The sequence below is a fragment of the Homo sapiens genome, chromosome 12 (assembly GCF_000001405.40).
Source record: "Homo sapiens chromosome 12, GRCh38.p14 Primary Assembly".
Classification (NCBI taxonomy): Eukaryota; Metazoa; Chordata; class Mammalia; order Primates; family Hominidae; genus Homo; species Homo sapiens.
Window position 1 is genome coordinate 38,885,232 of NC_000012.12, and position 26,994 is coordinate 38,912,225.

A 26,994-nucleotide genomic window follows, 5' to 3' on the forward strand; every position below is an offset into this window, starting at 1 on the left:
AAGAATGTTAAGGCTATAAATATACAAAGCATTCTCTAAATTAATGAGAAAAAAGTATAAGCACCCCAAAAGAAAAATGACTTAAAGAAGTGAATTGGCATTTTATAAGAGGAAGAAATATATTTGGTCACTCACATTTTAAATAAAGTTCATCCTGAATAATGAGCAATGACATGCAAATAAAATAAATAAGATAATGCTCTACTGTGAGACAGACAAATATTAGCTGCATGAATAGAACTCATTTAGTTGTAAGTTACAGAAGAAAAGGGAAATTTACGGTGAAAATACAGATATTTTATACAGCCCAGATTCAGGCATGTAGCTGACCCTGTGAGAAGAACGAAAACAAGGGCAGAAATATCCAAACTGCTTTTCTGTGTGCAAGTATTATCTATTTCAATCTTTTTTTTTTAACTGCTTCCTCTACTTCTCTAAACTACATGGTGGGAAACATAGATGCTGATATTGTTTGGCTCTATGTCCCCACCCAAATCTCAGGTAGAATTGTAATCCTCAATGTTGGAGGAGGGGCCGGGTGGGAGGTGACTGGATCATGGAGGCAGTCCTCCCCCTTCTGTTCTTGTGATAGTGAGTTCTCAGGAGATTTGGTTGTTTAAAAGTGTGTAGTACTTCCCCCTTCTCTCTCTCTCTCCTGCTCCACCATGTAAAGACGTGCCTGCCTCCCCTTGTGCCTTCCACCATGATTGAAAGTTTCTGGAGGCCTCCCCAGCTATGCTACCTGTACAGCATACAGAACGGTGAGCCAATTAAATCTCATTTCTTCATAAATTACCCCCAGTCTCAGGTAGTTCTTTACAGCAAGGGGAGAACAGGCTAATATAGATGGCTGGGGTTATTAGCTTCATATTTTATAATTCTGGCACCCAAGAAGAGACTGCCAGCTTTTCCCCACTTCAGTACAATCACCAGATCTCATGGACTTGTCATCACCTGGCAGGGTGCCACCTCTGAACAGTCATTACAACTGGGAACCACCAGTTCCACCATTTACTAGCTGTGTAAACTAAAACTCTCTAGGCTTCAGTTTTCTTATCTGTAAAAAAGGAGATGATCATAGTATCCTCCTCATAGAGTTGTTTGAGGAGTAAGTAAGTAAATATAAAGTGCTTAGAGCAAACCCAGCATATAGTAAATATTGGAAAAACTATCTAGAGGCAAAGGCAAAGAGAATAATGTAGAGTGGGTGTGCAATGCCCTAAATTAAGTGATAAAGCCCTAAACTGTGATTAAGGAAAAAGGTCAAATTCATTCGAAAATATTCATTCATGCTTTCTTTCAACACAGATTTATTGGGCATGTATTATGTGCCAGGCACTACTAGAGTAGTGTATGGGAATAGTTAAGCCCTGATCTCAAGTCCACTTTGTAGAAGAAAGAAGAGATGTAATGTGAGCCTAAGGCTGCTCCTCCAAGTTCCTTTTGCCTTCTATGAAATTAAAAGGGGCCAAAGAGCCTCCTGGTAAAATGAAAAATGAATCCTCTTGATATCTTTTTAAGTTTATACTGTCGGCCCAGCCAGGGTCTGGTGGAAGGAATATATAATAGGAAACTCTGAGAGGAATTTCTTTACAAAAGAAGGTAGAGCTCAGATGGGAGACCCAGATTCAGAGACAAAGACAGGCCCACACAGTCTGGAGCCTGGAACTGTGGGGTGTGTGCCCACAGAGCAAAAAAGTTGTGAATATATGGATTTAAAGAAATGACGACACCCAGGGAGTCTTTGGTAAGGAGGACTTCTGACTGAGACTGAACCTAGAAGGACCACATAGAACCACAAAGATCTGGTAAATCAAGAGAGACAAGCACCAGGAGGCAATGAGCAGAGTTACATACAGGGTTACAGGGACAGCAGACAGCAAGGTCTCATGCCAGGCCTTGTAGCAATAGGACATTACTGCAACTTCCCAGTGGCACTGTCAACAGCAATGTTTTAACAACAGCAGTGAAGGCTCCATGGAGGCAGACAGATAGGAAGAGGGGTATATTGAGACCACAGCTGAGATCATTCCCTTGGAGAGATGCTCTCCAGGCAGGGGGTACTAGGCCTGAAAAGCAGCAGCTAGGTTCAGGTATTAATATCTGAAGCCAAAATCCAAGGAAAAAAACTCGACTTCCATCTTACGTAAGTCATTGTAAAATAAATATGAATGGAAATATGCCTTATATGCCTCTAAATAAATGCACAAAGAGATATCTGCTTGGCCTGACCTATTGCTGGGTAAGAAAGTTGGGGTGATTTGTACTTTCTCCTTTGCTCTTTTCAACATAATTTGATTTTTTTTTGCATATTTTTACAACTTTATCTTCATGAAGTGATCTACTGTTTTCCAAATATTTCAGTTGAATATCTGTATAAAAACAAGAATTCCTTGCTAAGCTATTGAAACTTTCAAAACACTTTATTAATATTATCTCAAACAATCCTTATACAACTGTATCAGAAGGAATTTCTATAAACAGAAGCACAAGGAAACTAACTTATCTGAACTCTCAGAGTAAAGTATGGAGTTGCCGTTTAAATCCAGATCTTTCTGGCTCTAAACTTTTGCTAAGCCTGTAATACATTACACCATTCCCTAACTACGTTACAACACTTGAGATTATATATCATTATTTTTCTCAGTCTCTCCTCCTGCCCACTCTAAAAGCAGTAACCACATTTCAGCTCACTTGCTAACAGCTAAGTGGACAATGATCCTCCAAATATTTTACACAATTAGCTAGATTAGCAGTCTTTTAGGGTTTATTGCTTTTCCCAGAGTCAGTGCAATGGATCACTTGTCCAAGAAGCAAGAGCTGATGACTGTGATGTGCCTACAGATCTCCACTAAGTAGAAAGCTGGAGGCTAACATCACTCTACCCAACATCAGCTCACATACTGCTGCCTTCCAAGCACCACTCCCAAAATATATTGATCATATGACTGGATTTTCTAACATTTTGTTCCTTTGTCTATTAGCTGTAGAATAATATGTTGCTTCTATAATGGAGGAAAAGTCATGTATATTCAGGCTCAACATTTCAACATTTCAAAAGAAAATCTTTATCTATATGCAAGGTTGTCTTGAGCCAGCTCTCTTTAAGATGCATGAAATAATACATAGGCTATGACAATGAAAACAATAACATGCTTGTAAAGGTAAGGCTAGATTGGCAAGGTTGGTTTTTTTCTTCCTCCAGATTTTAAGCAATATCTTCTGTAATTTCTTTGGACCATTGGACAATTCAGAAGTACCTAGGAGTAATCTGAGATTTGCAGACTCAATAACAGAATTTAAACAGAAGAAGGAACTAATCCAAATGGGAATATGTAGGTCAGCATAAATGATCAGCTGAGATACAGGAGAATGAAAATGACTTCCTAATATGTATGTTTCATCCTTATCAGAAGTGAGTAGAACAGAAGTGTGCCCTGACTCAAAGGCTCTCATCTCGGCCCCAAAACCAACAAAACAACAATGGAAACAAAATCTCAGTAGCAGCCCATCCTACCTACAGTTCTACAAGTCCTAAAAAAACCACTGAATGAAACAGGCATAGGCAATTGCTTCGCTATGTCTCCTTCATCCTGCCTTTTTACAATTGATTTTTTTTCAACTCAATTAATACTATACTCTTTCTGGCCTTCAGGCCTTCCAGCCATGGTTCCTGTTCATATGTGATGTGCCTTTCTTCTACTAACGTTCCTTTCTTCAACTATATATTGAATAAATAATTATCAAGCACTTTCTATATGCAATACACTGGACTAGAAGCTAAGTGGGATGCAAAGCTGAATAAGACATGATTCTTATCCTATGAGAATTTACAGTTTAATAGCTGTCTGACACTCATTCAAATGTTGATTCAACCAGCACTAGGTTATTAAGTGCCAGATAAAGGATTTAGTGTTGGAGACCATGATATGAACACATTGGGCTCCAGGCCCTAGATTATTTATATTCCATTAAGGAGACAGATTTATAAACAAATATGTGCAGTGAAATGTGGAATATGTATAATAAATTCATTACAAATTAGAGAAAGGGAGGGGTGGGCAAGTCAATCTGAAGGATCAGGAAAAGTCTTCATAGTATGAGTGATGCTTGAACTATCGGCAGAGTCCATCAGGTGAGATAACAACGTGAGGCCAAACTGTTCCTACCAGAGAGAACCACAGTGTGAACATCATGGTTTTCTCAGGAAACACAGGTGTCTGAAGTGACTTAGAGTTTAGGAAAGAGTTTAGAGGCAAAAGTGGAGAAGGGGAGGGTGGTGGGACATAGAGAGAAAGAGATGAGGCTGAAAATTTAAGTCAGGGTTTGGAAGATCCTGATGACTCATTATACAGGCAACTAGAGGGTCTTAAACAAGGGAGTAATAGTATGATGTCATTTGCCCTTTTTGAGTACAACTCTACCAGCTCAAAGTACAGGATTCCTGGCGAGGAGGAGAAGGTTGGCCAGAGATTGTGAGGTTGGAAGAGTCAAGGAACTTGTGCATAGTCTTTGCATGGGTCAGACTGGCCTGGACCTAGTTAGCAGAATGGTCAGCCATGTTAAAGAGACGATACGGAAGTAGAAGGAATGGGAGGATGAGGCCTGAGGCTCAACTGACAGAAGTTTTACTGGGGTATTGGGGGCATAGAGAAAATGATGGGGAGGACTTAGTCCCTTGTAGGAAAGCAACCTAGAATTTTCAGGAGTGCCCATAAGTAGTTCGCAAAACCTCTGAAGCAATTTTGATGGTGCCTCTTGTTGACAATAGCTGGTTTAGACCATGCTGCCAAAATGAAAATGACACAACCACACAACAGTTGCATTTTTTAAATCACAGCATTTTATATATGTGCTGGAAATTGTTCATCAATCATCATCATCTTCACCTTGTATTACCATTTATTGACCTCATTGAAACAAAGTGGCTTTATAATTTTCTTTTTTTTTCCTAATTTTATAGCTATAGCCACTAATGAGGTCTGTTTCTCTGGAAAGACTTGATGTAATCAGGGATGACAACATTTTAGGCTAAATATAATCAACTGAGCACTTAGATACTTCAGCTGTTACAAGCACTTAGGAAATTACTTAGGCCATCCAAGGAAACTTTATAGCCAGACAAGTGTAGGAAAGACATGATTTATGGATAGTGACTTGACTTAAGTAAACTTCCTCATTTTTAACTTGAACATGTGTAAACAAGTTCTGTCTTTTCCTTTTTTTATAGAAAGCATTGTTTTCCATCTTCTCATCCTTGACACTTTTCTTTAGTTGGATTTTGACTTTTCTAAAATTTTATTTTACATTGTGTGGCACAAAATTTAAATTGGTGATAAAAAAAAATACAGAGTCTGGAAGAAGTACATTAGCATATAAGCAAATTTTTGCTTCCTCAAGTGGCCAGGCCACCAAACAGCTCTTCTTACCCTAAATTATACCCAAGTGAAACCATCACGTGCTGCTGCACTTTATTAGTTCACCAAGTACTTTAAGACATATTTTTCCCCAAGACAAAAGTCTTCCTTGAGTAAAAGATATGTTCACTTATTTTTCTACTTAGGTATTTTATATAGGATATCACACATGCAAATTGTCTCCTTTTTTTGGGTAGTATTCATGCCCAGATTAAGCGAATTATCTGTCAACATTTTTATTTATATATATACATATATATATATGTATATATATAAAATATTTTTTTTGAGAGAGAGAGAAAGAGTCTCACTCTGTCACCCAACCCAGAGTGCAGTGGCATAGTTTCGGCTCACTGCAACCACTGCCTCCTGGGTTGAAGAGAATCTCCTGCCTCCTCGCCCTCCCAAGTAGCTGGGATTATGGGCACCCACCACCATACCTGACAAATTTTTGTATTTTTTAGTAGAGATGGGGTTTTACCCTGTTGTCCAGGCTGATTTCAACCTCCCAACCTCAAATAATCCACCCACCTCAGCCTCGCAAAGTGCTGCGATTATAGGCATGAGCCACTGCGCCTGGCCAAATTATCCGTCAATATTTAGAATGTACTGTGGCCACCTCTAAAATTAGCTTTGCTCTGCTTGAGGACAATGTGTTTTAATTTAAATTTATTTGTTTCTCATTTCTTCACAAATAAAACTTTGTAGAACGTTATATAAACAAAGATTAAATAATTATATCTTTACTGAATAGCAAAATCAGGCAGGCATTTCAGTGTTCTCACTAAGTGTATAAACTAATTTTTTTTTTTTTTGAGACGGAGTTTTCACTTTTGTTGCCCAGGCTGGAATGCAATGGCACGATCTCGGCTCACCACAACCTCCACTTCCCAGGTTCAAGCAATTCTCCTGCCTCAGCCTCCCTAGTAGCTGGTATTACAGGCAGGCGCCACCATGCCGGGCTAATTTTGTATTTTTAGTAGAGACAGGGTTCCTCCATGTTGGTCAGGCTGGTCTCAAACCCCCAACCTCATGTGATCCGTCCGCCTCGGCCTCCCAAAGTGCTGGGATTACAGGCGTGAGCCACCACAACCAGCCAATATAAACTAATATTTTTAAGGGTATAAACATATAATGTATAAACATATTCAAATTCATAGATGTCCACATTCATTCTTCCAATCTATCAAGTGGCAAACATTTATTGAAAACCTTTCATGTGCAAAGCACAAAGTCTGGTTTTGTAATAATCAATGATAAAACAAATAGATATTTTTAAACTTGGTTGGGGAGACAGGCGTGCAAAAACCTAAAAAATTTTAAGTCAAAATAAAACAAAAAGAATGTACAAGAAATGTTGTCTGGGAACTCCAAGGAAGCAACAATTAATTCCAATTTCAAGAATCTAGTAAAATATCACAAATTGCACTGAGTGAGGTAAATCTTGACAACCAGGCAAGGAGAGCCACAAATGGGGGAAAGGCTTCTCAGGCTGTAGGAAAGTGTCAACAAGGGTGGAGAAAGGGAAGACACAAAGGAACGTGGGGATTAACACCTAGTCCACTTTGGCTGGTGCCCATGTCTGAGATAAGGCTGGGAAAGGAATCTGGGCAGGATGAGTAAGTACTCTGAACACATGCTAGCATACTTGGACTTTACTCTGTAAACAAAGGGGACACGCTGAAACAGTGGAAGTTTCTGCAAAGAAAAATCATGCAATTCAACCTTTGTTTACAAAGCTAACTAAACATGTGAAGCTCACTACATGTGTGAAGAAGAGGAAAAATGATTACTTCTTGAGCCAGAGTGGAGACAGCAGAAATGGAAAGGAGGTGACCGACACTTTGGAGAATGGAATAAACAAGTCTTGGTGACTGATAAGGTGATTTTAAAAGTACCGAAACCATTCATAAAGCTTATGAAATATAGTAAGTCAAGCATTATAATGGTAGGGAAGTAATAGCATACATGACTCACAGTGTTGGCTTATTTCATTTTGAAAGTCAACTGTTCCAGAAAGCCCAGGTAGCCCACACTCAGTGACAACTGATCAGAGGAAGCACACAAGACTGAATCCATCTGACAATTTTACTAAAAACTCTCTAGTTGCCAAAGAGACCTAAATGATTTTTTAAAAGTAACATATTAGAAAAGTAAATTACTGAAAAGGCACCGATATCTATTCATATCAAACACTGTTCATTTCCATGAATACAGTTTGTTATAGATTTCTGTTGAGAGAAAAAACTAGAACAGCAACAGCAGAACTTGACAACTCTTGGGGAGAATATTAAGGAAAATGAGGACGTTGAAATAGCAAGTAGTTGGTGTTAGAAATAATCTAACATAATAGTTCTTTAAAAAAAAAACCTTAGACACTTGAATTAGAGCCTACATTTTTAAAGTCTCATGATCACACAAAGGTTTAAGAGCCTATGTCTAGAAAATCAAGTGTAATATGGCAACAAAGTTAAACTGTTTGGAGGAAATTAAGGTTTTCTAAATATATGTTAACACTGTCAGAGGTGTTTGAACCAGAGCAACTCCATCTTGAATAGGGGCTGGGTAAAATAAGGCTGAGACCTGCTGGGCTGCATTCCCAGGAGGTTAAGGCATTTAGTCACAGAATAAGATAGAAGTTCAGCACAAGATACATGTCATAAAGACCTTGCTGATAAAACACACTGCTATAATGAAGCTAACCAAAGCCCACCAAAACCAATATGACAATGAGAGTGGCCTCTGGTCATCCTCACTGCTACACTCCCACCAGCGCCATCACAGTTTACAAATTCCATGGCAACATGAGCAAGTTACCCTCTATGTTCTAAAAAGGGGAGGCATGAATAATCCACCCTTGGTTTAGCATATAATCAAGAAATAACCATAAAAATGGGCAACCAGCCACCCTGGTGCTGCTCTGCCTATGGGTTAGCCCTTCTTTTATTCCTTTACTTTCTTAATAAACTTGCTTTCACTTTACTGTATAGACTCACCCTAAATTCTTTCTTTCACGAGATCCAAGAACCCTCTCTTGGTGTCTGGGTCGGGAGCCCTTTGCAGTAACAATACTACTCCTTTCCCTATTACTTTTTCTTCACAAACCTTCTTTTATTTAAAAAACTCAAAGATAATAAATAACTTTTACTCTATATCTGCAATTGTTCTGATTAAAATTAAAATTCATATTTCAATATCATTTTAAATACACTAGAGGAATTGTCTATCTAAAGACATTCTGAGATAAATATTTTGAAAGTAAAATAGCCTTTTTTGTTTGTTTTATTAAAGATAAATTATCACCACTAGTTTACAATGGGCTTTGACAATCACATTATTTCCTTAAACTGAAGTATGTCCCCATTTTATTTTAAGGTCCTGCTTCTCCAATCATAAAATTATGAACCTCCAAGTAATATCATAGGTCATCTTGACCAGAGACTCAACCTTTCTATAGGATCTAAGATCCAGTGAAGTGGCATGATTGTCAAAGTTCACAGAGCTAGTTCCAGAAACAAAACAGATGCTGTTTCTTTGCTGAAGTGTTCCACAAGGAAGCAAGATGCCATATATATGACATTCCAATGGCACAGTGATTTAAGTGAAACAAAGAAAATAAAGCCATTATAAGATATGTCTTAAGTTAAAAAATCAATCATCTTTTAGGTAGTATACTTCAAACTTTTCCCAAAAAAATTTTTTTAATTTACTAATTTAAATTATCAATTAAGAGAGAAATTCACTAGTAACTTGATATTGATTACGCCTCCTTTCCCCAATGCCTACAAGAGGCTTTGGATGAAACCACTGGCATAAAAATCAATTGTAATCAACTTTCTAATATCTCTGCTTCCATAATTAATTTGAGAGTGGAGATACCAAGATAAGTCAGATAATAAGCTATATCTAAAATCGTAGGTAATTGAGATGGGTTTAGCAAATACATTTATTATTCTAGTGTAGTTCCCACGTATCCCTTAGTCTCACGTGCTTGCTCTCACTCCAGCTCACTCTCTCTCTCTCTCTCTCTCTCTCTCTCTCTCTCTCTCTCTCTCTCTCTCTCATATTCTTTACTTATAGCTTGGAAACATGAAAACCTATTTAAGACATTAAAGAAAAATGTTTGTGTTACTTTCAATTACCAAAAAATCTACAAATAGGAGTACATTTAGATAAAAGAGTACTCCTTTATAGGAGTACATTTAGATAAAAGAGGATTGTAGGAATGCTCAGAGTTATAGGAGATGGATGCAATAAGAAGGATCTGCAGACAGTGAGAAACAATTACATTTCTCAAAATGATTATAAAACCACTATTATGCTAAGGCAGAGACACATGTTGGTTTCAACCAGTTATGGCAATTATAATCATATCTCTGGTTCATTACACTCTCTGACATTTGAGATTGTTCTTAATAAAATTAATGTGTCACTTGTTACTTATTTTACATACATAGAGAGCATGAAGCTAATTAGCAAGGTAAGAAAAAATTGACTTTTACAAACTCATGCCACAATTCATATAGCTCAGAATAATGTACTGATATTAATATCGAAGTAGTTATTTTATTTACATGAAATTCTGAAGAATGAATTTGCCATGAAGGGAAACTCTGGAATTAAGTATTACTGAAAAGCTAGCAAGTTAAACGGTGACTTCCCCAGTGCTAAGAAAGCACTGGACTGAAATTGTAGGGCCTGAGGTCAATTCTCAATTCCACTGGTAAATTTGAATGTCACATAGTCATTTCAATTAACTTTTCTTACTTTTCATTTGCCCAGACTATCACCTCTCTCCAGTATTTAGTTTTCATCTCACCCTGCCTGCTGATTTCTAGCTAAATAGTCTTCTCATTACTTAATTTCCTACATCTTCATTAGGTAACTCAGCATCAGAAAAAGATAAGAATCAATACTGGAAATAAAACATCACATGGTTAAAGTTTATGCCACTCCTATGAATTGCTCTACTCAAAGCTCTCACCAGTAGGGAACAGAAAAACAGGAAAGCATTCTGTGTTTTGCATCCTCAGAGAAATATATCCTTTGTGGTAGAGTAGTGTTGATATGATCTATTATAATTGCATCTCCTAAGCTTTATAATTTCTTTTAGTTACTAACACACTGGTATTGACAGAAAAGAGCTCCACTCTTCAAGCCGACAATAAAGAATTTATGGAAGAACAACATAATATAGCTAATGGTCATAAGCTTATGCTTAGGAATTAGACATATATGGATAGGAACTCAACTTTGCCACTTACTAGATACGTGACTTAAACCAAATTACTTATACTCTCTCTAAACCTCAATTTCTTCACTTGTAAAACAGGACATAACATCACCTCTTTTCAGAATTGCAAGGATTGAATGAATTAGCCCACATTAACCACTTTATACATTGTCTGACAAAGAGTTAGATTTTGAGATTAATTTAAAGAAAATAGATGGCAAATATCCAAAAGTTGCATGTTTCTTGGCTTCATTAAAATAGCTTATATTTGAATTCGTTTACTGTCTAATAAATAGAAATATTTGCTGGGGACTATCAGTGATATTTTGTTTCTTCAGAGTTTCAGAAAATCAGCTGATGATTCCCTCAGAAGGTCTGCAACATTATTCTTCACAGAATAAACCTGACAAAAACCCTCACAATTTGAACAAGAATGTCTGGTAGCTAATGGTCCTGGCTGGAGAGGCACTAACACTGAATGTTGTCATTAAGTTTGCCAATATTAAGGTATTGTGTATCAGGGAGTGAACATCATTGGTCCCTGGGTCAGGCACCTTTTAAATACATCCTATTTTATTACAGGCAATAACTACTTGCCTTACCTCAGCCTGTATTGGCAACTACAGCAGTATCTGTTTTATCATGCCCAACACAAAACAGCTGTCTTAAATATCAGCCCGTTGACTTTATTGAGCAGATACAAGAATGTTCTTTTGTTCTAAAACTTGGTTATTATAGCAGACTACCTCCTACCTGTCAAATCCCACATGACTGATTGTGTCTTGGCAGAAGTGGGCCTATGGGGTGGAATCTGTAGAAACTGAGTGTGCATTTACAAATCCACACTATTCTAACGACTGTTTTATTCCACACTCTCTCCACATTGAATTAATCAGCATGGGATAACATGCAGCTTTATCACTGTCACCTTGGTTCTATGTTTCTGTGGCTCCCCAAATTGACTATAAATTTTTCCAAAGTACAGATACCTTCTTCTATGTTGCTGTGTGCCACACAGTAAAATGCTGAAGAACCTGGGATAAGACTAATAGCCAGTTAGTGCTTTTCTTGTGACAGGCTGGGCATTGTACAGACTTTATTTCATTTACTCATCCAACAACCTTGAAATTTTGGTTTTTAAATAATTTCTATGTTACAGATTAGGAAATGAGGTTCCAAAAGTTGAAACAGGTTACCCAAAATAACATTCCAAAAAGGGATAAAAATGAGATTTAAAGACATCTGTCTGATTTCTAATTCCATTTTCTTGCTGCTATACTCTGCTGCCTCAAATTCTCATTAATCTCTAAATGCAACATTCTTATGGTAATAAAAGTATTTAGAAAAGTGCAGCCAGTAGCTTAGCCTTGATTCTGCGTATTTAAATAGGAATGGGATGGAAGTAACCAAAACAAGCTACCAAAATCCCTTTGAGAAGATAGCTTATTAATCATTTCAGTTCTAGAAAACTATCCCCAGGAAAAAAAAGTAACCAGAGATGTTAGATGTTTGTGATGGAGAATACTCATTTTTAACACTGTTTTGAATAGCAACTTTTTGAAATAAATTTTGGAAAACAAGGGTTAAGTTAAATAAACATAGTACAACCATATAATAGAATACTGCACAGACATGGAAGGTTATATTTCCAAAAACTAATAACAACAACATATTCATGATATAATATTAAGGGAAAAGTACAGGAAAAATATTGTATAGAATATATAATTATATTCTATATTAATACACACTATTAATATATTACATATTGTATTATGTATTATATATTATATGTGTGTATATATTAATATACACAGAGAGAATATAAATGTGATGCTATACATGAGACAAAAATGAACTCATTTGCTCATAGTTTGACGCAACAGCGAAGGATTTTAATTTTTTTATTATCTCTTTGTAATCATTGAGTGCTTAACTAATGTCACAAGCAGTGTTTTATCTCACTTACATGTATTAACTTATTTAATCCTCAAAGCAAATATAAGAACTGGGGGCTATTATTATCCCCACTTTACAGATGAGGAAACTGAGGAACAGATGTTTCAAAGATACTAAGTGGCAGAGCTAATCTAGCCCTACACCCACGTTCTTCAGCGCTAAGCAAAACTGGCTCTCAAACAGGCTAAGAACTGGATGAAATCTCTTTGAGAGGAATTGTATTTCTTCTCAGTCTTGAGTAAACTCAAATAGGGGATATAGGCTTCTGCCTGCTACAACACAAATAACAGACCTAAAGGAGCACAGCTATTACCACCCTCTCCTGTGGGATCCTGTCCTTTAAACTGCTTCTAGATTAGCATTCTCCACATACCAGGGCTGTTTTAAAACCCCTCAGGCCCCAAATGCTAAAAAACACAGGCAGACCAAAATACTGGTGGAACAACAATGTTAAGTAAGGTATTTCTCTGAAAAAAAAATATACCAGGGCAACTCTCACATTAAGACTTCAACGCCACAGTTCAGAAAGTTCCCAGGACAAATTTTACTGAAACTCTGGGGCTAAGACAAACCTAAATATGATCAAAAAAGGCACTACAGGGTGACTACAATCTTGAACCACAGGATCTCAAGAGCTGCAGAGACAGAATAGGATGTTACGGTCTACAACAACTTTACCCTCTGTTTACCTGTCATATGGCTCATTAACAGCACAACAGGCAGTCTAATATCCCTAGCTTATATAACTTAATTTATCAACTAACAACATCACTTGAAAATCTATTTACATAGTATCTCCAAATTTTTTGTCTGACTAAAGAAAGGTAAAGTATGCTAAGAGATGAACCAATGTGGACTAAGGTAGAGCCTCCAACTGTTGTGTTTGAATGCTTTGATTCCTTTCACCGCAGATCATTAGAACAGCACAGGTATCTACCTCAGACAGCCAACTCCAAAAAGGGTCAGACACTCTCTCTTGGAATCTAACTTTGCTTTCGCAGATGGTCAGTTAATCACTAAGTGTAGCTGGACTTGTAACATGTAAACTTGCAAAGGATATGCCACCAGTGGATGGAGAAAGAGGGAAAGAAAAATACAACTTCAAAGTAAGAGAAGAATAAAAGTGTAGAGAGAACCACATGAAAAGGAGAGGGAGAAATTTAAAAGTCTCTAAGTTCCTAACTGCAATATACCTGCTATCACAACTTTTATGGATTATAAAATCATACAACCCCACTTATTCCAGTAGAGAAGGAAGACCAGAGATAGTGCTGAACTTGACACTACCACTTCTAATAGTGACAGTCTAACAAGAGTGTTATGAACTGAATGTTTGCGTCCCCCCAAAATTCATGTGTTGAAATCCTAACCCCTAATGTGATGATATTAGGAGGTAGGGCCTTTGGGAGATGATTAGGTCATGATGATGGTGCCTGCCCTTATGAATGGGAATACTGTCCTGATAAAAGGAACCCCAGAGAGCTCTCTCACTCTCTGTAGGCCATGTGAAAGTACAGTGAGAAGCTGGCAGCCTGTAACCTGAAAAAAAAGCTCACATCAGAACCTGACTATGTTGGCACCCTGATCGCAGACATCCATCCTCTACAACTGTGAGAAATAAATGTATGATGTTAATAAGCCACCTTGTCTCTGGTACTTTATTATAATAGCCAGAACTGAACCAGACAAACAACAATAATTTTCTTTTATATAAGGCTTTACCTTTTCCAAAAGTCCATAAACAGTGATGTGCAAGTATATATTTTAAAACAACCTCTTCAATAAAAAGCTGAACGTTTGTGTGTACAAAATTTGTTATTTTTTACTGATGTGTAGAGTATGTAGCTTGGCACACAATCTACAAATAATAAGTTGCACATAGTACTTTTATTATAAACTCCATAGAGTCAACTGATTCCCACAGAATGATTTCTTAAATACAGATGACAAAAGGGTAAGTCAAACACTGATTTGCAGTGTTTGCCAATTCCCATGGTGTAAATATTCCCACTATGGCTTATTTCAAGCTGCCAAGGTGGCACACATGAATTGGGAAGAGAACAGAAGCACAGCACTGCAGAATACTTTCAACACACAGATTTAAAAAATAGAGAATAGATGATTATAAAAAAAAACAGATGACAGTAACATGTAGTAAAGCAATTAGGAAGTTATAACCTTTCAGCATTTCTTAAATTTATTTTTAATATAATTTAATTTTGTTTATATAATTCAATTTTTAATAGTCACTTTAACAACTGACTTACAAATTTCTGTTCCCAAACCCATTTAAGCTCCAGCACACCATCAAAAAGTATCTTCCTAACACCCTAGTAGGGTGGGTTTTACTAACTCAGATCAAGGGACTAGAGTTAGAGTCACTTACTCATGAAACCAAGAGATGAAAATAATTAGTGTGTATAACCAGCACAGCTTGAACTTGTTAAAAGCTCAGATTCCTGGGTCCCATCCCCAGAGATTTTGATTCAATAGATCTGCTATGGGACCTAGGAATGATATTTTAACAGGAGAAATCCCTCTTCCCACATTAGACAATTTGGCTATAGAACTGCAGCATCAAACATTTACTAACTACATATTCTGTGCCAAGCTCAGAATATAGTACATGGACATGAAAGAGACAAAACTTGTCCTCAAGGAGAATAGAAAGACTAAGAGTGGTAATATACCTATGACACTGGCACACCTCAGCTACTTTGGGACTAATCCAGTTTAGGAGCACAGCCTAATCCAGAAAAGAAGGGGAAGGGAGGTAGGGCAGGGCAAAGAGCAGCACCTGTGTAGCCACAAAAGCATGAGGAGTTTGGTTGTCTAGGATGAACGCTCACACTTTGGGACTGTACCTTTTATAAGTATTTTTTAGCCGTATTTCTCGGGCATGCATTTTGGGCTATGGCACACATCTGTTTATCAGACTATATACAGTTGCTGGGTTCATGCAAGGAGTGATGGGAGATGAGGCAATAGACTTACACCAGGTCAGGAAGGGCTTTTTAGAATGCCTAGCACCACGTAGGCACTCAACCCTTTTCCACTTCATAGTCTTCCTTCCACTTTAATGTTTAAAGTCAGTATTGGCCAGGGGGGCAGTGGCTCAGGCCTATAATCCCAGCACTTTGGGAAGCCAAAGTAGGCAGATCACTTGAGGTCAAGAGTTCCAGACCAGCTGGCCAACATGGTGAAATCCCATCTCTACTAAAAATACAAAAATTAGCTGGGCGTGGTGGTAGGCACCTGTAATCTCAGCTACTCGAGAGGCTGAGGAAGGATAATTGCTTGAACCTGGGAGGTGGAGGTTGCAGTGAGCAGAGATCGCACCACTGCACTCCAGCCTGGGCCACAGAGTGAGATTCCATCTCAAATAAATAAATAGTCAGTATTATCACCATTATAGGATTATTTCTGTGACAGGATGTACATTTGATACCTAACATGCAAAGTCTAGAAATACACAATATTCTCACTGCTTTTATTATTGATAAGCTGACTTCTCAATCAGAGAAAATGATGAAAATCAGTGAAATAGTGCAACAAAATCAAGGACCCAAGGAAAACAGGTGATTACTGCATATTATTTTTCCCAGTGGGTTTACCTCATTCTATAGTAATAAGCTTTCAGAATAAAATGGAAATATTACCTTAGTTTATCTCTCAAGGTTGTATCATTTCAGCTACAGGCATTTTTAGTTAATTAAGTAAGCTAATTAATTTAAAAATCTACAAATTTATACAATAAAAGAAAATGAATGCAAGAAGAGCTAGACAATGGGTAGAAGACGAAGGAGGTCAAATAGCAGGAGCTTGCCTTTGCATAAATACATCTAGAAAAGGGTACCTCTCACCCCCTTAACACAAATTTAAGTGGCTATAAATTTAACCACTGTCCCTTCTCTAATCCAAACCATGCCTATCCAGCTTGTCTCTGCCCAAGCCCCATCTCTCCCCTTTGTAATATACTCCAAGCACCCTATTCCACAATGATCCTTTCCCTCCTCATGCATGAGCCTCATCTTTGAATTTAGCCCCGTTACCGTGTCTTATGTAGTGTTTATCTCTCAATCAGATTTTACATTTTCAGAGAACTTCTTTTGCATTTCTCATGGACCCTAGCATAAACATAGACATATAAAAGGCACTCAGACACTTGATGAATAAACAGACTAAATTATTTCCATGAATTATATTCAAGCTTCAATCGTTTATCTTTTTCACCTTCCCCAAAATGAAGATAAAAACTTTGTCATAAAGCTTTTAATGATAGGGGACAGTGAAAGGAGGTGAAAGAAAGGAAATGAAGAAAAGAAAAGGAAAGGAAAGAGAAAAAAGAAAAGAGAAAGAGAAAAGAAAGAAAGAAAGAGAAAGAGAAAGAAGGAAAGAAAGAAAGAAAGAAAGAAAAAAGAAAGAAAGAAAAAGAAAAGAAAGAAGGAAGGAAGGAAAGGAAGGAAGGAAGGAAGGAAAGAAAGAAAGAAAGAAAGAAAGAAAGAAAGAAAGAAAGAAAGAAAGAAAGAAAGAAAGAAAGAAAAGAAAGAAAGAGAAAGAAAGAAAGAAAGAAAGAAAAAGAAAGAAAGAAAGAAAGGAGAGAGAGAAAGAAAGATAAAGAATGAGAAAGAAAGAACCTATTCAAATCTGAGCTGCTTTTGAAGTGTGGGCAAATCCTCAGAAGTCTCTGGTATAGTAAGGCAAGGGAATTCCTTACTCTGCCTGCCCATAGCAAGGCTCAGAGGCCTTCAACTGTGCTTTGTTGCTAAGTGAAATCCCCACAACCTTTCTACAAAACATGTTCTTGATGCACATCAAAGAAGATAGAGAAAGCGGGAACAGGTATCCCAATGCTGGTTCTATCCTTGTGTTCTTTAACCAACTTATTGAAGTTCAAAAGAGAAGGACTTTTACAGAATTCCATACCTGAATCATATATAACACATTTATTCAACAAATGTTATTTCCAGTATTATAATAATAGCTAACATTTTTGAAAACATGTTTTTGTTTCATGCATTGTGTAAGCGCTTTCACACATCACCTTGATAACACTCTATATAAGGTAAATACCATAACTATTCTTATTTTTGGAGATGAGAATGCTTAGACAGACTGAATAAGAACTTACTCCAAGGTAGCAAGAACAAGTCACAAAGCCAGAATTTGTACTTAGGTCTCTGATGCCAAAGCCCAAACTAAACCACCTCCTATGGTTACAAGATCCAACAATACTCAAATATTTTTATCTTTGAATTTTAATGTATTAAAAATAAATTTAACCCACCTTTTCAGGAACTATTCCCAAACCTATTCCAAAGGCACTAACTTGGGTATTTAATTATGTTTCTCTTTGCCCAAAAGATGCTTTTTACCTCAAACTTATCGTAAATAGTAAGCTGAGTCAGAAGCAACTCAAACAATAGACTAAGCACTAGTGCCCCTGGCAGAGATGCTTGACACTAAGTATTCAGGTTCTCTTTCAGGATTTTTTTTTCCTGTTAGAAATCTTAAAAATTAAAAACAAAATGTCAAAGCAATGTTATGAAAAAAAGCTGGAACAAGGGATTTGCAGGTTCTGAGGCAGCAAACTGAAACAAATTGCCTTAAGCCAATTGACTTCAGTATGCCCAGCACACTCACAGAAAACATGCATCAAAAAAGGGGCTGCATTAAACATGGGCCCTACTGGCAGAATGACCAGTTTAGGTATAATTTCCCTTAAAAAGCTCATGGAAAAATTCAGACTTGATTGACAATATTCTTTTATATTCATTCCAAGTATAGGCCACATGCCATTCAGACTTTGCAGACTGTTGAGCAGAGGATAAGAACTCTAGTAATGCTGTTATTGTAGGACTTCCGGCTATCCATTATCTGTATATACCAGTAACTTCCCTCTAACATCGAAAGCAAGCTTCAGAGAAAAGAAAAAGGCCTAGGAATCCTCTAAAGAGTTTTCCAAACAGCTTCACCTGTTCCATTGACAGAAAAATCTCAGGCAGCACTTAAAGCAGTGACAGCAATGAGGCAAGAGCTTAATGATAGCTATCATTATCAGCATGATTATTTCCATAGTCCCAGATCAGTCTTAAGAGGCGGCAAACAATCAGGTGATATAGTTTCAGGGCTAGATAAAGGCTGTCCCCTACCCTCAAATAATACTTCTACTACGGTTGCTGGTGCTCGAATTTTCACCCCCAGAAAAGAATTCCTTTGGCTTTAGGCTCAGTTTGTGAAAATGCAAAGTCAAGATTGATGGAATTTTAAACTTATTTACATCAAGATCACCCAAATTTGTTAGATATCTTCAAGGCAAGTTTGCTAAGGAAAGGAAAGGGAGGATGTGAGGGCATAAAAACAATCTTAGGGCAAAAATGGATAAATGAGGAGCCAGTTTTCCAGTGAGACAGACCCAATTATGCAAACAAGGGAGTGGGCTCCAGGGTCAATATTAATTCGCAAATTAGTGGCCAGTACCAATTTAGCACCATCGCTCATCTCCTTCTCAAAATCATCTATGATATAGCGGTGATGCTGCTTTATTTACAGGGCAACTAACCGAAAGGTCAGGACAACGAGTTTGCAATTTACAGTCTCTGGACAGGGTTGAAAGTCAGTTTTTTTTTGTTTTTTTTTTTTTTTTGAGATGGAGTCTTGCGCTGTCGCCCAGGCTGGAGTGCAATGGCAAGATCTCAGCTCATTGCAACATCCACATCCCGGGTTCAAGCGATTCTCCTGTCTCAGTCTCCCGAGTAGCTGGGACTACAGGCGCGTGCCACCACGTCCGGCTAATTTTTGCATTTTTAGTAGAGACGGAGTTTCACCATATTGGCCAGGCTGGTCTCGAACTCCTGACCTCGTGATCCACCCGCCTTGGCCTCCCAAAGTGCTGGGAATACAGGCGTATAAACTGTACTGAGCCACTGCGCCCGGCCGAGAGTCAGTTTTTACAAGCACTCAGATGTGGGCCCGAAAACAAATCAAAACAAAAGTCGTGACTTCCCAGATCTTAGGTAAGGCATAGATTCGTCTGCAAGGAGGGCCGAAATCTCTACCTATCAGGCAAAAGGCAAAAAGCCCGGAAGGGTCGGGGAGAAGCAAGCTGGAAGGCTCCAGGAAGTGGGTGGGGAGGAAGCTGCCGGGGTTGGAGCCAACCCTAGCAACAGCAGGTTTGCACACGCCTAGCAGAGGAAGTCCCGGGCCTAAGCGTGCAGCGGTCACAAGAGCTTTTGGCAGTGCTGTCCCCTTCGATTCCGGTCATCACCCAACCATCCAGCCCGGGTTTGGGGCGGAAAACCGGCTTGTAAAGTGGGCGGCGGCCGGTGTTCCCACAGCTGAGTCACAGCCCAGCCAACTTTTACAGCGTTTCCCAGAAAGAAAATACAAAGTCTCAGTCCCGGAGCCCACCGCTTCTAATTCCCGCTCCCCTGTGTCACCTGACCCGGGGTAACTCCAGCCCCACTACTGAGATATTTCCCACTCATGGCGCAACTTCTTGCCTGCGCAAAGCCTCGTGGTACCCCGAGCGCTCTCCAAGTGCTACCAACCCCACAGATGAGAGGGCAGGAGAGAGGGGAAGGGCTGCGTCCTCACCTGCAGGACACGGACACCTCCACCCGCGTGGCCGGGATGGCAGCGCTCAGCTGGTTCAAGTCCCCGATGCCCGCAGTGCTGTTGTAGCGGCTGTCCATATTGGGAGGAGGCGCCTTGGACTTGTCCGGCGCCCACAACCACAGCTCGGGCGGACTGAGGGCTAGCTCCCGTCAGGCGGGGATGGGGGTTGAGGGTGGAGGCAGAAGAAGGAGGCGGAGGCAGCGCGCGGGATGGGGGAGGGAAGGGAGGAGGCGGACCTCCGCGCAGAGCCACGAGGGAACCGCTAGCCAGTCCTGGGTGAAACTGACGCTGCCAGGCAAGTGGCGCGCGGGGATCCCGGTTTCCCAGCCCCCTTCCGGCAGGCAGCAGCCCGGGCGGGGGACACACTCCGTGATCCCCTCCTGGCTGGAGGGGTCAGGCTTGGTGGACCCAGCAAGCAGCCTGATGGAGAAGGTGGCACCAGACGCAGACCCCTACCGTCCAGGACCGCAAGCCCTCGCCGGCTCTGCGTGCTTTTAGGTTTTGTCTCCACCTCTGCACACCCACACTCGCCTCCTGGGCCGCGACAGCTTCCTTCTGTCAATCAGGTGTGGACGGGAAGGTCTCGAAGTTTCCTCGCCTGAGTTGAAAGCTGGAGGTGGGGGCACCTCTGCCCGTTCCTAACTGCCCCGTTATAAGGTCCCCCTCCCCACAATTGGTTCTCACCTCGCCCTCGGAGCTCTTGGGAGATCCCTCCGTCCCTCCTACTGTGCCCTCGGGCAGATGAGTCTGGTCCCAGCTTCTGGACTGCCCACTGTCGGCCACTTGAGAGTTGGGGACGGTGGGGCATTGTGACGCTCTCCAACCTTGGAACACGGTGGCAAAGTGGCCGATCAATATATGGGACAAGTGGGGGCGGGGGGGCGGACTCTAAGGTGGAAAAAACAATACTACTTGGGATTTAAGGAAGCAATCTGGATTCTGTCTCCCCTTGGTTCTTCGGAGCTTAGAGGTCTAACGGCGACATTCCTCCTACAGTAAGGGCTCTTCTGGGTCCCTCGTTTCCAAAGGCATGAAAGTTCTGACCTGAAAATGGGGGCCGGGGAGGGTGATGTCACAACCATATAACGCAGCTCCTTCAGCCGACTCCCACCCGCAAGAACTGAGACCTGACGGATAAAAGCAGAGAGGAGTCAGAGTGAGCGCTGCGTTTGGGAAACTGCATTCCAGGGCAGCAAGACTGGTGCCAAGACGGAGTCGTGGCAAAAGCATCCGGAGGTAGACGAGGCGCCCCTCCACTGCAGGGACCTTTGTTCCCCGCGCCTTCCCTCCTGCCTCACCCGAGCGCCTGCGGGTCCCGGGAGCTCGCCACCAGGCGGCGACGGAGAACAGGATGCGGCGCAGCTGGAAGGCAGAGGGTGGAGAGGGGGCGGGTGTCCGTCCGATTTAACGCTCCAAGCACGGAGTTTCCAGCTGGTTGGGCTAAGTCTGGGAGGAGCAGTTTTTGCGGTGGAGGACTTGCCTTGCGTTGTAACATTTTAATCCACTTGCAGCCTCCTGCCTAGAGAATCTATAGAGGCGGGTGAGAGTGTGTAGGTGCAGTCTTGCCGATTCCCCTGCCGAGTGTACTTCCCCTGTTTCTTCTTGCTTTCCTTTCCTGATTTCCCCACCCACCGCTTTTTCTTCTTTTTTTTTCCTTCCTCTTGTCCTATTACAAATTAAACTGTAGTTTACTGCGATTTGGAAATGCCCTAAAACCCCAGGCATTTCTATTATGCTGCTCAAAGTTAATTTGGCATAGAGATCTAGGTTTTTTTTTAAGCTCACCAGAATTTTACTTTACAGAAGCCTACTGAAGAGATGAAACTTGAGAACTTTAGTAGTCAACATGTGGGATACTTACATCCAATTTGTTTCCACTTCAGTGAGGTATAACATATATAATGAACTGCACTTAAAGTGCATCCATCATTCGATAAATGTTGACTCATGTATCTCCCTGTGAAGCCATCACCAAAATCAAAATAATGAATCATTCCATCACCCAAAAGTTTTCTTACGTCGTAATCAGTACCTCCTTTCATCACTGAAACAACCCTCTAAGCAACCACTGATCTTTATGTCACTATAGAAGAGTTTGCATTTTTAAAAATTATGTATGTGGAATCATAAAGCAGGTAGTATTTTTGGTCTGGCTTCTTCCACTAAGCAAAGTTCTTTTGAGATTCATCTATGTTAGCATCAATAGTTCATTCTACTTTTTAAATATTTATTCATATATACAAAGAAATAAATTTTTAATTTATTTTAAATTAATAAATTTCATTTATTTAATGAAATAAATTTTTAATTTATTTCATTGTATATATGCGCTATAAATTGTCCATTCACCTGATGATGGACACTTTGGTTGTTCGAACTTTGGGCAATTACAAATGAAACTGATATGAACATATATGTACAACTCTTTCTGTGGACGTATGTTTTCATTACTTCTGGGTAAGTACCTAGGAGTGGAACAGCTGGATCATATGGAATGTGTATGTTTAACTTTTTAAGAAACTATTAAGGCCAGGTGCGGTGGCTCATGCCTGTAATCCCAGCGCTTTGGGAGGGTGAGGTGGGCGGATCATGAGGTCAAGAGATCGAGACCATCCTGGCTAACGTGGTGAAACCCTGTCTCTACCAAAAATACAAAAATTAGCCGGGCATGGTGGTGTGCGCCTATAGTCCCAGCTACTCCGGAGGCTGAGGCAGGAGAATCTCTTGAACCCCTGAGGCAGAGGTTTCAGTGAGTGGAGATTGATCGCGCCACTGCACTCCAGCCTAGGGACAGAGCGAGACTCTGTCTCAAAAAGAAAAAGAAACTATTAAACTTTTTTTTCAAAAGAGTTTTACTACTTTTCTTTACCACAACAGTATATAAGAGATCTGGTTGCACACATCCTTGCCAACATTTATGATGGTCTTTTAAATTTTAGCTTATCTAACAGATGTGTAGTAATATCTCATGTGGCTTCATGACAAATGATGTTGAACGTATTTTCCTATGTCTTTTTGCTATGTGTATACGTATCTTCTTTGGTGAAGTGTCTTCATATATTTTACTTATTTTTTTATTATGTTGTTGGTTTTCTTATTTCTGAGTTTTGAGAATTCTTTATTCTGTATCCAAGACCTTTATCGCATGTGGTTTACAAAATATTTTCTGACAGTCTGTGGCTTGTGTTTTCATTCTCCTGTCTATCAAAGAGAAGAAGTTTCTAATTTTGATGAATCTAGTTCTTCAACGTTATCTATTATAAATCATAATATTGATGTCAAAACTAAGAAATATTTGTCTAATGTGAGATCACAAAAATTATCATCTTCTATACTTTCCCCTAAAATTTTAGTTTTAGGTTTTACGTTTATCTCTATAATTTATTTTGGTTTTTCTAATCAAAGTTCTCATTTTTACACATTGTCATCAGATTTTGCTAGCACCATTTGTTGAAAATACTACCCTTTTTCATTGAAAAATCTTTGCATCCTTTGCCAAAAATTAACATATATCTATGAGTCCATTTTTTAGACTCTATCCTATTCCATTTACCTATTTGTCTTTCTTTAAGCCAATGCCACAGAGTCTTGATTACTATAGCTTTAAAATAACTCTTAAAGTCAGGTAGTATAAATTTTCCAACTTTGATCCTCTTCAAAATTGTTTTTTCATTTTTAATCCTTCTCATTTTCATATAAATTTTAGAATCAGCTAGACAAGGTCCACAAAAAGTCTTGTTGAGATTTTCATTGGGGTTGCATTGATTCTATGGACAAATCAGAGAATAATTGACATCTGATCCAAATTTATCTTCTGATCTATGAACATTATATATCTTTCCATTTATTTAGGTCTTCCTTAATATATGTCAGCAGTGGAGTGGTGTGCTTAAGGAGAGAGAGACTTGGAAAAATACAGACCGAGAACAAGGCCATGTGGAGATAGAGGCAGAGACTGAAGTTGTACCACCAAAGGCAAAGAATATCAAGTATTATCAGTAACCACAGGAAGCTGGAAGAGGCCAGGAAAGGTTTTTCTTAGAGACCTTGGAAGGAGCCTGACCCTGGAACACCTTGATTTTAGACTTCTGACCCTCAAAATTGTGAAAGAATAAATTTCTGTTGTTTTAAGCAATTCGGCTTGCAGTAATTTGTTACAGCAGCCCTAAGAAAAGTAATACATATCGATAACATTTATTATTTCCATTTTGCTGACTCTTTCAAGTTCTGTGCTTATAAATTCATCATAGTGAAGTAAGCTTTAAATGATAAAACTTTGAAAGTATACTCAAATTCTGTTGCTATAGTTAGCACAATACAGAAAGGAATATAATTTTTAAAAATAAATTTTAATAATATAAATATAAATTATGACATGTCTAAACTTTTATTTTGGAGATTTTATAATAAAAAGTTTATATTTATTAAAATTCATTTAAATTAATAACATAAAGCCCTTGGAATATGCTAAAAATCAAAGATAAGTTACATTTACTATAACGTAATAAACCATCATTCACTGAATCAGTGATTTAGCAGACATTAATTCAATGTCTGCTATGCACTAGGCACTGTACTAGATCTAAGAGCTAAAGCTCCTTCTGGCACTTATAGACCAAGTAAAAGTTAGCAAGGAGATACATTATTGGGTAAAGATTATACTGACTGAGTCATCGAGCTCTGTTTTTTAAATAGTTTCAACTTTTAGATCTCTGACGTACATGTGCAGGTTTGTTAAATAGATAGATTGTATAATGTTGAGGTTTGGGATGCAAATTATCCTGTCACCCAGATAGTGAGCACAGTTCCCCAAAGTTTGCCTCCATCCTTCCCATCCCCCTCTATCAGTCCCCAGTGTCTGTTGTTGCCATCTTTATGTCCATGAGCACCCAAAGTTTAGTTCTCACATATAAGTAAGAATGTGCAGTATTTGGTTTTCTGTTCCTGAATTAATTTTCTTAGAATAATGGCCTCCAGCTGCATCTGTGTTACAAAGAACATGATTTTGTTCGTTTTTATGGCTGTCTAGTATTTTGATGGTGCATATGTACTACATTTTCCTTATCCAATCCACTGTTGATGGGCACCTACATTAATGCCATATCTTGGTTATTGTGAATCACGGAGTTCTTTTCATTTCTGAGATTTTATTATTTCACAAGATTAGAGAAGACTTCAATTTGTAAATTCAATGATTATTAACCATTATTTTCAGAAGGACTTATTTACAAAATAGCTTGGTTAAGGAGAGGCTAATGAGAAAAACACATGAAGAGAAAGACCAAACAAACAAGAAAACAAAAACAAACAAAAAAAAAAACACTGTTGAGTCTCCAATGAGAGCAACAAAACAGAAAGAAGGGAACATACTTTTTGAAGAATGTCCCTGAAACAGTGTATGCTTATAATATAAGGATAAAATATATTTACCTTGCCTGGCAAGTGATGTATCAGCTCACACATAATCCAAAACAAATTGGACTGAGCATTTCTTCAGGGTATAGCTTCATCATGGAACATTTGCGCTATTGGCTCCAACAACTATCCTAGCCAAAGATAAGTCAGAAATACCAGCATTGCCCTATGCTCACCTTTAAAATACCCTCAGGAATTGAAGAAAATACATAGTTCTCTAACCTCTGTGGATAGCTTTATAATTACTTTAGCTAGTTGACCTGCTCTATGAAGACACAGCTTAAAATAAAATAAACTTATATCACAGCAAAAATGGGCTAGTTGTTTAATTTTAGGGAGTGACAGATGAGGGAAGACATTGTGATGAGTGGCCAAAACATGTTTTCTGAGTACCTGCCTTCTCTCTGGATCAAATAACCACCTGGTTTTAAACCGTACAAAGTGGATCAAGTATGTAAACAATTCAATCATTTCAAACATTCAAATTGTTAATATCACTAATGCTGTTTGCTTAAAGTTACCTTCGTGACCAAGTAAGATCAGTGTCTCACCAACCTCATAAATTACCACCTTGCTAATAGCTAAGACAGTCGGAAGACTATCACTTTTAAAATCAACTTTAAAATACTACAAATAATAACAGAGTTAAGATCTGTCATGAATAAGTGTCTAGGGACAGTAAATCCAATATTTTAATCAAGTAACACTTTTCTAAGGGACCATGTATGATTATTTAGGTAAACCTAGTCTCAAGTAAATGTTTCCAAAGTAAATTTTACACTTAAGAGAGCACATAGAATGCAAAATCTTTTCAATTTCAGAATTTCACACTTCATATTTAAGCATATAATTTATTTCACATGATGTTTTGAAGGTCTTGGGTTGGTTTGGATATTTGTTTTCCATTATCACAGAGTCAACTGGCTCCACCCACTGGCTATTCAGTAAAGGGAGGCCATAAACTTGCAAGAGTTAAGAGAGAGTGTAGATCAGGAAGGTGACCAAACGGAGGTTAGTTATTTTACTATAACTGAATCTTCTATTATTTTTAATGATAATACTTCAGCTATCTATTGTTGCATAACTAGCCCTCCAGCATTTAGTCATGCAAAACAACATGATTTTACTCTTTTTCATGATTCTTTGGGTCAGAAATTAGGGCACGGCTTGGCCAGGCAGTTCTGCTCCATGTAGCATCAGTTTGGGTCATACATATGGCTGCATTCAGCTAGAGGCTGGCCAGACTGGAAAATCCAACAAGGCTTCATTCCCATGTCTGGCAGCTCAGTGCCTTTCCCCCAAGTAGCTGCTCTGTGGTTTCTCCTCCTTCTCGAGTCTCTCCTGAGCTTCTCC

General features: G+C 38.9%; 1 protein-coding gene and 1 long non-coding RNA gene across 9 annotated transcripts in view, besides 3 other annotated features; one reads left to right on the plus strand and one right to left on the minus strand.

Moving 5' to 3' along the window:
* CPNE8 (copine 8) overlaps positions 1-21,604 on the minus strand; it is a 254,633-nt gene extending 233,029 nt beyond the window's left edge. For 6 of the 7 annotated variants that reach the window (XR_245896.5, XR_007063052.1, NM_153634.3 and 3 more), the window contains exon 1: positions 20,206-20,360. Coding sequence is in view for 4 of the 7 variants with exons in the window: in NM_153634.3 (NP_705898.1) it covers positions 20,206-20,303 (98 nt within the window). In the remaining 3 variants the exon portion in view is untranslated. Of the gene's footprint in view, positions 1-20,205; positions 20,361-20,910 lie in introns of those variants that run through there. The other variant, XM_017018852.2, reaches the window with a different exon arrangement.
* Positions 7,348-7,427: a silencer, noted in NCBI's record as "silent region_4344". NCBI's record gives its function as "represses an Ori minimal core promoter by ATAC-STARR-seq in GM12878 lymphoblastoid cells {active_cell/tissue: GM12878}" and the evidence as "EXISTENCE:reporter gene assay evidence [ECO:0000049][PMID:35858748]".
* Positions 20,345-20,514: a silencer, noted in NCBI's record as "silent region_4345". NCBI's record gives its function as "represses an Ori minimal core promoter by ATAC-STARR-seq in GM12878 lymphoblastoid cells {active_cell/tissue: GM12878}" and the evidence as "EXISTENCE:reporter gene assay evidence [ECO:0000049][PMID:35858748]".
* Positions 20,481-24,361, plus strand: CPNE8-AS1 (CPNE8 antisense RNA 1). Of its 2 annotated transcripts, none has more exons than XR_007063275.1 (2): positions 20,481-21,766; positions 24,079-24,361. It is a non-coding gene; the product is annotated as a CPNE8 antisense RNA 1 (long non-coding RNA). The 2 variants fall into 2 exon arrangements; XR_001749083.3 differs by having other exon boundaries at positions 21,149-21,462.
* Positions 21,645-21,904: an enhancer, noted in NCBI's record as "active region_6196". NCBI's record gives its function as "activates an Ori minimal core promoter by ATAC-STARR-seq in GM12878 lymphoblastoid cells {active_cell/tissue: GM12878}" and the evidence as "EXISTENCE:reporter gene assay evidence [ECO:0000049][PMID:35858748]".
* Positions 24,362-26,994: the final 2,633 nt, after the last annotated feature.